General features: G+C 45.5%; 1 protein-coding gene across 1 annotated transcript in view, besides 1 other annotated feature; it reads right to left on the bottom strand.

Moving 5' to 3' along the window:
- Positions 3,821–11,522, bottom strand: part of SLC60A1 (solute carrier family 60 member 1) — a 33,905-nt gene continuing 26,203 nt past the window's right edge. The window contains exons 8-10 of the mRNA NM_181644.5: positions 8,889–8,959; positions 7,488–7,608; positions 3,821–6,333 (exon numbers count right to left, since the gene is read on the bottom strand). Coding sequence (NP_857595.3) covers positions 6,278–6,333; positions 7,488–7,608; positions 8,889–8,959 — 248 coding nt within the window. The 3' untranslated portion in view covers positions 3,821–6,277. The remainder of the gene's footprint in view (positions 6,334–7,487; positions 7,609–8,888; positions 8,960–11,522) is intronic.
- Positions 5,575–6,774: an enhancer, noted in NCBI's record as "CDK7 strongly-dependent group 2 enhancer chr1:205569093-205570292 (GRCh37/hg19 assembly coordinates)". NCBI's record gives its function as "activates an origin of replication core promoter dependent on BRD2, BRD4, P300/CBP, MED14 and CDK7 cofactors, with strong dependence on CDK7, by STARR-seq in HCT116 cells {active_cell/tissue: HCT116}" and the evidence as "EXISTENCE:reporter gene assay evidence [ECO:0000049][PMID:35650434]".

Genomic DNA, 11,522 nt, shown 5'->3' with positions numbered 1-11,522 from the left:
AGTCAGCATGTGGAGCACAGTGAGGACTACTGCATGCTCCTAACACACTGCTCTCAGAGTATCAACTGCGACGGTAGTCCCACGAGGTAAAATCAGTTTGGGAAATGGGTTCTTCACGGAAATTCAAAAGGAAATTTCAGAATATGAAAAGTGCCAAGTCCTTCAGTTAAAAAGCCTGTTTAGGCTGGGCGTGGTGGCTTATGCCTGTAATCCCAGCACTTTGGGAGGCCGAGGCAGGTGGATCACGAGATCAGGAGATCGAGACCATCCTGGCTAACACGGTGAAACCCCGTCTCTACTAAAAATACAAAAAATTAGCTGGGCGTGGTGGCGGGCGCCTGGAGTCCCAGCTGCTTGGGAGGCTGAGGCAGGAGAATGGCGTGAACCCAGGAGGTGGAGCTTGCAGTGAGCTGAGATCATGGCACTGCACTCCAGCCTGGGCGATAGAGCGAGACTCCATCTCAAACAAAAAAAAGCCTGTTTAAGTCACCACCGTTTTCTAACCTTTCTGACTGTTGACACTTATTTTGAGAAGCCTACCTGTTTTGCAAGCACTTTCTGTGTTTTATAGGTGCGTTTAATGACAAACTAATACCCTAATATTGGGTAATTTTCCAGGGTTGGCATTATCAGGTAGGAGATAATAATTAACAGTTAGATGATTTCACATTGATTGTTGCTACAAAACACTGTACTAACTGGACGACCGACCCCCTGTAACTGCAGGGAGTCTATGAAAGTGACTTCATTTTATTAAATGAAACAGGAGTGGGCCGGGCGCAGTGGCTCACGCCTGTAATCCCAGCACTTTAGGAGGCTGAGGCAGGTAGATCACCGGAGGTCAGGAGTTAGAGACTAGCCTGACCAACAGGTGAAACCCTGTCTCTACTAAAAATACAAAATTAGCTGGGTGTGGTGGCGCGTGCCTGTAATCCCAGCTACTAGGGAGGCTGAAACAGGAGAATCGCTTGAACCCGGGAGGCGGAGGTTGCAGTGAGCCAAGATCACGCCATTGCACTCCAGCCTGGGCAATGAGAGTGAAACTCCGTCTCAAAAAAAAAAAAAAAAGCGCAAACTCAAACAGCTGTGCCAGTCAGCTGACAAGCATTGGTGTTAAGGAGTCCATTGGATGGTTCCCATGTTTTTTGTTTTGTTTTGGGGTCAACCGTGCTGTCACCCAGTCTGAAGTGCAGTGGCACAGTCATGGCTCACTGCAGCCTCAAACTTCAGGGCTCAAATGATCCTCCCACCTTGGCTTCCCAAAGCACTGAGATTACAGGCATGAGCCACCACCATATGTTTTGAATATGTCACCATAATTAACCAAAACTATCTTCTTTGGTCAAGGTCATATTGCCTTACATGTTGCCACATCTGGTGGTTGACATTCGGTGTTCATTGGACCTCTTGGCAGCACTGATTACTTAACTCCTTCTTGAGATGCACTTCATGTGCCCTCCAGGAAACCACATTTTCTCCTGAACTTCCTATTTCTCTGGCTTTTCTCATGTGCGCTGCTGGGACTTGTTCTTTTTCTAAAACTCTAGATGTTGAAGAATCCCAGGGCTCAATCTGTCCATCTCTACATTCATTCCCTAGCTTGTGTCATTTTAGTCCTATGACTTTAAATACTTCTTTATGTGACCACAAAATTTGTATCTTCAGCTTTGACTTCTCTTTTAAACTCTAGACTTCTATATCTAACAGCCTTCTTGACATCCAAGATTGCATCATAAGATGATCATGTCCAAAATAGAACTCAGAATGTCTCCCCATGGCCTTCCAGAGTTAAATGGCTTCATCATGTACCCAGTTACTTAGGTCAGATTCCTTCAGGTCATCGTTGATTCTTTTTTGTTTGTTTTTTTGAGACGGAGTTTCACTCTTGTCACCCAGGCTGGTGTGCAGTGGCGTGATCTCACTTCACTGCAACCTCTGCCTCCCAGGTTCAACCGATTCTCCTGCCTCAGCCTCCCGAGTAGTTGGGATTACAGGCACCTGCCACCACACCCAGCTAATTTTTGTATTTTTAGTAGAGACAGGGTTTTGCCATGTTAGCCAGTCTGGTCTCGAACTCCTGACCTCAGGTGATCCATCTGCCTTGGCCTCCCAAAGTGCTGGGATTACAGGCGTGAGCCACCGTTCCCGGCCCATCCTTGATTCTTATCTTTCTCACACTACACCCAATCCATCAGCAAATTGTCAGTTTCACCTTCAAAATATTGCTTGAATCCAATCACTTTCACCACTTCCGTTGCTATCTACATTTCCAAGCCACCATTATTTCTTCAGTCTATTGCAGTGGTACCCAGGTGGTCTTCCCAATTCCATGCTTGCCCCATAGTCTCTTTTCCATAGTAACCAGTGATACTTTAGATATGTAAATCAGATCGTGTCGCTTGCCTGCTCACAACTCTTCCAGTCATCTTACATCACTCCAAAAAACCTCTACACATACCATGGCTTGTATGATCTGGCCTCTAGCAACCACTCCCACTTGTTCCGTTTGACTCTTCCTCACTGCAGTTGAGCCACACCAGCCTACTTGCTGTTCCTCCAATACCATAAGCATATTCCAGCCTAAGGCTCTTGTACTTGCTGTGCCCCCTGCCTGATGGGATGTTTTCACGTACTTGGATAGCTTGGTCCCACGTATCATTTAGTTTTCTACACAAATAGGACCTCCTTAGAAACGCCTTCCAGAGCATCTTTTTTTTTTTTTTTTTTTTTTTTGAGACAGAGCCTCACCCTGTCACCCAGGCTGGAGTGCAGTGGCACAATCTCAGCTTACTGTAACCTCCACCTCCCAGGTTCAAGCAATTCTCCCACCTCAGCCTCCCCAGTAGCTGGGATTACAGATTACAGGTGTGCACCACCAGGCCCAGCTAAATTTTGTATTTTTAGTAGAGACAGGATTTTGCCATGTTGGCCAGGCTGGTCTTGAACTCCTGATCTCAGGTGATCCGCCTGCCTCAGCCTCCCAAAGTGTTGGGATTACAGGTGTGAGCCACTGTGCCTGGCCCTAGAGCATCTCTTGACATTCCCTATTCCCATTCCATACTCCCTGTATGTTTCTTTATGGTGCTACATTACCCCTCACCCTGTGGCATTCCCATATCCTATTCCATATTCCCTGTATGTATGTTTCTCTATGGTGCTACATTACCCCTCACCCTGTGGCATGTTACGTGTAGTATTTGTTTGCTGTCTGTATGTCTTCACCTGCGGTATAATCCTTGTGAGGCAGGGACTTCTGTCTCAGTCACCACTGTATGTCTGTACCTAGATTAGTGCCTTGAACATAGCAGGTGCTTAACAAATCCTTTTTGACTGAATAAACGAAATTCACTCTAAAAGAACTCTATGTCACTGTGTCTTCTTTTAGTGAATCCGATGTGCCTGATGGGTTAGATTTCCATATACAAGTAGCAGAGGAAAATCTGGGAACAGGGTGATTCCACAGGATTCTGAAATGTCCAAATTCCTGAAAGGAAGATGAGGAAGAAAGTCCTACTTGTGTAACTGAGAAGCGTGTGGTGTAAGAATCGACCTGCCTTTTCCTTATTCCTTATTCTGATTTTATGTAATAGGGAATAGTGGCACTTAGCCCTGCTATGAGAGGTTATTTATTTATTTATTTATTTATCTTTTTTTAAAAAAATTCAGAGTTTCCCTTGTGAGACAGTTTTCTTTCTTCTAAAATATAAGCCACATTAACTTATTAGTATGAGAGAGACCTGCCTCTGGGGAACATCAGACCATTTGTTTCTGAGTGTATGCAAGAGGATCAATTGTTCTTCATAATGGATAACACACTTAATAAGTTTAAATATTTTATTTTAGGAAAGGTACTCTTAGATTTGTGTTAATGTTGTTTTCTGTATTAACAAATTAGTCACAATCAACTTCGATATAGCCATTGATTCTTCTTTCTAAATCTGTATAAAAAGGATATTTTCTTGAAAAACCACAAGAAAAATACAACTGCTTTTTCATTGCCCAGGTCAGTTACTCGCTACAGTCAGACTGCATTTAAATTAGACTGGCATCTAATACTTTTGAGTATTTACAAATATAATTAAAACTATACTCCTAGACCACCAGCTTTCAAAAAAGTTGGATCTGCTTGACTTGCAATAAATATGTACCAAACATGAATAATTTCTAAGCCGCTTATGAGGAGGTTTTAAAAATTACTAACATTTATTAAGCAGTTTGTGTGTCAGGCATATTGTGAGTGCTTTGCTTTATACAAATTCACTTACTTTTTTCAGAATTCCTTTGAGGTAGGGTAGGTACTTTTAGAAATGCCATTTTACATGTGAAAAGTGAGGTTGGAAGAGCCTCAGTAACCTGCCCAGGGCCACACAGCTAGAAGGTGAGCCAGCACTTGAGCCACGTTTCTCTTTCCAGCCAGATTCTCAGCACTCAGCTGTGCTGCTGGTGGTCACAGCTGGCTGACTGGACCAGGAAGAACCTTTTAGTGTCAGGCGTGTGAATCACAGCACTTGGGACAGGTTACCAAGAACCATGATCACTTAATTTTTATATTTATACATGTACATTTGTATATACATAGAGAAAGTGCAGGCAAAACCATTATACAGTTACTCTAATAGCCATTTGCTACTGCCAGCAGTCTCAGGACTGATCCCTGTCTAAGCTGGCAAGTTTACATTCTCCTTGTATCACTACAGGATTTGCTCTGGACAGGAGCTGTAACTCCTCAACAAATCCTGCTTTCAGTCTACTACTGCACAGCTTGAATTGTTCAGTAGGCCCAGCTTTTTGTGAAAGAAAAGGCCTTGCCATGGTATAAAGAGTTTTTTTCCCTCTATAAAAGATGTAAAATTTTTGGCTGGGTGCAGTGGCTCACGCCTGTAATCCCAGCACTTTGGGAGGCCGAGACGGGCAGATCATGAGGTCAGGAGATCAAGACCATCCTGGCTAACACGGTGAAATCCCGTCTCTACTAAAAATACAAAAAATTAGCTGTGCGTGATGGCATGCGCCTGTAGTCACAGCTACTTGGGAGGCTGAGGCAGGAGAATCGCTTGAAACTGGGAGGCGGAGGTTGCAGTGAGCCGAGATGACGCCACTGCATTCCAGCCTGGCAACAGAGTGAGACTCTGTCTCAAAAACAAAAACAAAAACAAAAAAAGATGTAAAATTTTCATTAGGTATTTTCAGAAAGTCTTAGTGCTGTTTCTATACCTTTTATATGCTAGTCAATGTCAGTAGAAAAAAATGGAACATCCATTTCATTCTCCTGGGCGATTTCTGGACCAGTTAGCCTTGATTACTAGCAGTGGTATGCTGGTAAATGTTTAACCACTGGCTCTCCGGGATCTGTAGCTTTTGCCAGTGTCCATGGTAATACTCCCACCAGGCTGATTTCAAGCTACCAACATGCTATCACGAAGAGTGGAGTTGAGACAAGGTGCACAGTAGCACACCATCATATATAGTAATTCCACCACACAGGTACCATGGACGTAAATTACCTCAAGAGCATCAAGATCAAATTAGGAAGTGATATGCTTTGAATATTTATTACCTTTGTTTTAAATGTAATTGATTTAATTATAAGTTTGTATGATTTGATTTTTAATAATGGCTGCATTTAATAACCAGCTGTCAAAATGAAAATTTTACAATCAGCTTTTCTAAGTTGGTATGAGCCAGCTTAGCATACCACTACATTAGTATACCAAAGAGAGCAAGATTCAACTTTTCCTTTTGGTGTTTGAGAATATAGATAAGCTATTGATGTCTGCAGCAGGAATTTAAGAGACTTTGGACTATTAAGTGAAAAGCACGAAAATCCTTTGAGCATGCCAGGGAATAACTTGCAGCTTGTTTTGCTTAAATTGAAATATATCTACATATAGCAATGATCATGGAGCTTTACAATTTCAACCTATTTTTACAAACTTCAATGAAGAATGATCTCAAACCCAGAGTATGGTCCATGCATGAGGTGACAAATGGAGTGAAGCGCGCGGCTGTCTCCTTCCTTCCCATCTGGGTATCTGGACAGCTCTTACCAACAGTCTGAACCAGGGAAGAAGATAACTTGAGAAGCCAGGTAAACTTCTAATGATTTTGACCAGGTACCAGGACTCAATTTAATTTCCTCTACCCAACCAAGTTTTAGTGGAGAAGACTTGAATAGCCATTGAGAGAGCGCCTCCACCACCACCCAGCTTTCTGAAACAGTATGGTCGTGCTGGTGATCAAGAGGCTGAAAGTCTTCTCTTGCCTTCTTCACCCAGTTTTACCTCTGGTAGCACTCAGAGTTTTCCATTCCAATTGATCTGTCTTGGGTAGGAACTACAAAAGAAAAACAAAACAGGTAGCATGTTTCAGCAGCTCTGATGAGTTGCAGTGATGATTCATTCTGAGAGCTTACCCAGGCTGTTTGTTTCTCTGCCATTCTGTGGCTCTAGAGGGAGCAAAGTGAAAAGTCAGACCCCCTAGTTCTGGCGAACAGTTGGTGGAGGCAGTTTCCTGAGACTGCTGTCTAGGGCTTGGGGAATGTGTCTGTCTCCCATGAATAAGGAGCCCATTAAGTGTTATTCATTTAATGTTCAGCAAATATTAATTGAATGTAGGTCTTAAATGAAACTCCTGTGTGTGTGCAACCAGTACTGCTGTCTCAGAAGTGAGGCTATAGTTAGTGCTGTTTTGGGGGCCACCTTTCCTTCTGGGCCTTTGTACTGAGCGTTTAGAGCGTAGATATGTTCACCCACTGAGAGCGGATGGTGAATGCCTGTTCCTTTAGTCTTTTTGTGATGATTTTGCTTTTTATAGGGAGGACAGAGTCTCCGCCTGGGCACCTTCTCTTAAGAACTGGCTTTGCACACAGCCGATGCAGTCCCTGGGCACTTTGAAAGCAGTGGGCAAAAGGGCAGGTAAGGGCTCAGGGTTATGAAAATTGCTTTGGGACTCCCCCTGCCTGGGGTCTCTAGAAGGGAGACTATTCTTAGGAGGTGTCTGTGCCCTGAAGGAGACTTTCTTTGCTACTTGGCCTGAAGGACTTCTTTTTGAAAAAAAGATTTGGACTAGAATCAAAATCCTGAACTGCAAAGAGATGGCCAATTAGGCCGTTGGGCTGAGTTCCAGCCAAGGAGTCGGGCTCTGCCTTTCAGTTCCCTGAACAGGCTGGAAAGAGATTCTTGGCTCATGGTCCCATGACATGGTGGGATGCAGGAAGCCAAGTTCACAATCCATACCCCTCTGCTAATGGAGAAACCATGAGTCAGCCGACCCAGCTCTCGCCTATCTTAAGAGTCCAGCGCAGACAATCGTATGGAAAGCAGGAAGAGAGGAAAAGGAAGCTGTAGAAAAATAAACATTTCCTTGCATTTTACTTGGAACAGAGCAGCGTTTCTGGCACGTTAAGATCCATAGCATCTCCTGCTCCCCCGCTCCCCGACCCCGGCTCTGTTTTCCTCCTCTTGTGTAGAAACAGATACTTTCCTTACCTGATGGGAGTCCAGGGTGCATCCTGTGGAAAAACAGGAGCAAGATATAGAAGGTAAAAGCCAGACAACCAAAGATCACGCCACAGACCAGGAAACTATAGCTGCCCTGAGCCTGGAATATCTGCCAAAGGGGAAAACACAGAGAGACAGACAATTAAAACTTCACGTGGAAGGTGTATCGGAGGAAGCAGCCTTCTCCATCCTTGGCTGGTTTTTCAGCTAAGTTGAGGCCCGTCACACCAAGAGATGGAATCACGGGGAGGAGGGAGGCCTTGGCCTTGTTTCAAGTTGATGTGTCTGGAGAAGGCCGAAGTCCTGCTCTAAGGCAGGGACTGGACCTGGTGACCCCCTGCAGTCCCTTGCAGCTCTGTGTTCTGGAACCTTCTGACGATCTCTATCATCACTGAAGCTCCAGTCATACTAGGTGTTTCTATACCCATAAGCCCTAACCAGAACTTTGCAGAGGATATATTGTTTTACTCTTTTATTATGAGAATTTAAAACATGTTAAAGTAGTATATGGAGCTCCAATGAACCCAACACTCAACTTTAGCAGTCAGCACCGGTTTCATTGGTGGCCTTGCACTTCTTTTCTGCACTAGGTTACACTAAAGCAAGTCCCAGATGTCACATCATTTCAATGAGGAGGGTATGGTGAGATGCAGCTCTTCCCCTCCCTCCAGCAGGGCAAAAGAGGAGGAAAGGAGAATGGAGTCACAATGAGGGAGATTTTGGAGGCCGGAAGATCTAGATGTGAGGTCCTCTCTGTCAGTTTCTGGAAGTGTGACTGACCTAGGGTAAGTTGCTAAATTCATCTGAGTTTCCGTGTCCTCTGTTGTAAAAAGGGGAATAATATCTACATTATAGTATTCAATAAAAAGTAGATGTTAGGTTGTTTTTTTTTTTTTCCTGGTGAATAAATGAAACATGGGTGGATTTGAATAGAACTGGAAGAGTTGGCCCTCTCGGTCAGGGCAGGAGTTGAGCAGGAAGCTGGGCCCTCTGCAGGGTGGCCAGAGGCTGTGAGAGGTGGGGTAGGGAGTGGTGGGTTCCGAAGGGATGGAAAAAGAACTCTGACTGCAGTTCCAACCCATCTCAGGCTCTGAGAGCTAAACAGCATTCCCACGGGCCCCCTCTGGCCCTGCTCCCAGACATGGCTTGTGTTTGCTTTGGACTTTTCCATGCATCCGTTTACATCTCCAGATCCCACATATGGAGGCTCAGCTCTCAGGGCTGGCTTGGAAACGGAAACAGGTAACAACGGCACAGGGGGCCCTGCTGGCTTTGCTGGAGACTCAGGAAAGGGACAGTTTGAGTTCAGAAGGTGGCTATCTGCATCTTCTCACCTGTCAGAGGAGTGCTCCCCAAATGCTCCCCTCTCCCTTACAGGTCCCCACATACCGAACCAACCAGCATCTGCAGCACCATCTCGCCAACTCCTGCCCCTGTCACCAGCACTGTGGTTGCACAGCCTAACAAAAAGAGAAGGTTTGGTTTGGTAAAAGCAAGTTAAGGAGACAGAAGCCAGCATTACAATCCAGGTTGCTGGCCAGGCACAGTGGCATATGCATTTCGGAAGGCACATCCCAGTACTTTAGGAGTCAGAAGTGGGAGGATCTCTTGAGGCCAGGAGTTCAAGACCAGTCTGGGCAATATCACAAGACTTGGTCTCTACAAAAAGTAAAATTTAAAAAAATTAACTGGGCATGGTGGTGTGCACCTGTAGTCCCAGCTACTTGGGAGGCTAAGGTAGGAGGGTCCCTCGAGCCCATGAATTGGAGGCTGCAGTGAGCCATGATCGCACCACTGCACTCCAGCCTGGGTGACAGAGTGAGACCCTGTCAAAAAACGAAAAAAAAAAAAAAAAAAAAAAAAAAACAACCTAGGTTGCTTCTGGGAAACCTCTGGAAGATGGCCTGGCAGAAAGGACTACTTTGGATTTCTCAGACATGAGCCTGTAACTTTGCTTTGGGAATGCCTAGGTCTTACTGTCATTTTGTCCTTTCCTTGTTCTGAAACCTTTAATTGCTCATCAATATCTCAGGGTAAATCCCATCTTGCTTAGCCCTGGCATTCAGCGCCATTCCCATTCTGACTGCTACCTACCTTTCCAGAAAGATTTCCTGATATCCTGAGGCTAGCCCTCTGGTGCAGGCAGACTAGTGTCTTCGCTGTCCTGGCATTGCACTGACCAGCCACACGCCCTGATGAGTCTGGCAGTGTGGTGCACACCTTCAGAGCCCAAGCTTCAGAGTCAGACTTGGGTTCCAAGCCCAGGTTGTCACCTACTGGCCATGTGACCTTAGACAAGTTCTCTAACCTCTCTAGGCCTTGGTTGCCTTCTCTGTAAGATGAGCATCACACCTCCTTCACAGACTTACCGTGTGGGTAACTCTGATGTAAGACATGCCAAGAGCCTGGCATAGGACTGGCACACAGTAAACTCAAAACCAGCCCAACTCTCTGCGCAAGCCCCTCAGCACTGCCTTCAGGATGAAGGCCAAGGACTTTCAAGTGGTTTGCAGAGCCCTTTAGACTCTGCCCCTGCTAATGGCTCAGGCTTCTCTCTCCCCCTCCACCCTCCGTAACTCTCACCTCCAGGCTTCAGCACACATCTTCACTCCCCACTGAACATTCATCCTCCTCCTCTTTTCTGGTAAACTATCATTCATCTTTTTTTTTTTTTTTTTTTTTTTTTTTTTTTTTTGAGACAGAGTCTTGCTCTGTCGCCCAGGCTGGAGTACAGTGCCTCAGCCTCCCAAGAAGCTGGGATTATAGGCATGCCCCACCACACCTGGCTAATTTTTGTATTTTTAGTAGAGATGGGGTTCCACCATGTTGGCCAGCTGGTTCCCATTGATCTTTTAGGTCCTAGTTTAGACTTCCATCAGTAATGTTCCTCTCTGGTCCCCATGCCTGGATGGGTTGCTTCTCTGTGCTGTGATATCACTCTGCACCTGCTCTCACCACACTGTCTGTTGACCAGCTAGCCCTCCCCACTAGGCTGGAAGCCCAGGAGAGGATGGCCATGCCTTGTCTTATAGATCACTGGCAAAAACCAGTGCCTGTTAGTAGCACAGCAGCTAACACATAGTAGACACTATTTTTTTTTAATAAAATGGTTGTCATCATTGTCTACTCTGGACTTCACATTCCTTCTAGCTCGTTCAGTCTCACTTATGTTCAGACTTGTCTCTGTGCCTTTGCTCTCATTCTGTTCACTGCCCCACCCTACCCAGGAAGGCCTTTCCATTTTCCTCTCTGCTTTTCTAGATTCTGGTCCAGCTCACATCCCATCCCCTCTATGAAGCTACTTTTATTTAAATCAACACTGCCCCCTCACTCCCTTCCCTGAATTCCAGCAGCACCCATCTGTCTGTTCCACTCATTTGTTTAAAAAACTGAGGACCACTGGGTTCTATGCTAACCACTGAGGATGCTCAGGTGAATACTAAGAGTTAACAAGACACTGAGTGCCTGTGAGTCAGCTTTGATGCTAAGTCAAAAGCTTTACATTTTTTCTGATGCACAAAACAATCCTAAAAGGCAGGTATTTGCATCCCCATTTTACAGATGAGAAAATTGAGGCTCAGAGAGGGGAAGGAAGTGAAACTGCACAAGGTCATAAAGCCAGTAACTCTGGAGGCAGGACTGCCAGGTGTGCTATTGCCTGCACAGCCCGTGCTCTTACCCTTGTCCCTTGGTAGGGTCATGTTGTCTAGGAGAAGCAGATAACCTAGGTACAAAAGTCTTGAGATGGGTCAAACATGAGAGACAGGGGCAACGTCAAAGGGCACAAAGGGGAGGCACACCTTTCCAGTGGGGATCAGAGGAGCTTCCTGGAGAGGGACACTTCCTGGAGTTAGGTCTGGAAGGAAGAGCAGGAAGATAAAGGGGCGAGATGGAGCAGGGAGGATGTTCCAGGCAGAGGGTTCACCACGTGCCAAAGTAGGGAGGTACAGAACAGTTTTTGTGCCATCAGGGAATAGCATGTAATTCGTGGCTAGGATGCAGGTTTGCAGGGGAAGCAGGGAG

Source organism: Homo sapiens, chromosome 1 (assembly GCF_000001405.40).
Source record: "Homo sapiens chromosome 1, GRCh38.p14 Primary Assembly".
Lineage (NCBI taxonomy): Eukaryota > Metazoa > Chordata > Mammalia > Primates > Hominidae > Homo > Homo sapiens.
Note: the sequence above shows the minus strand (reverse complement) of the source record. Positions and strands in the feature narration are given on the sequence as shown.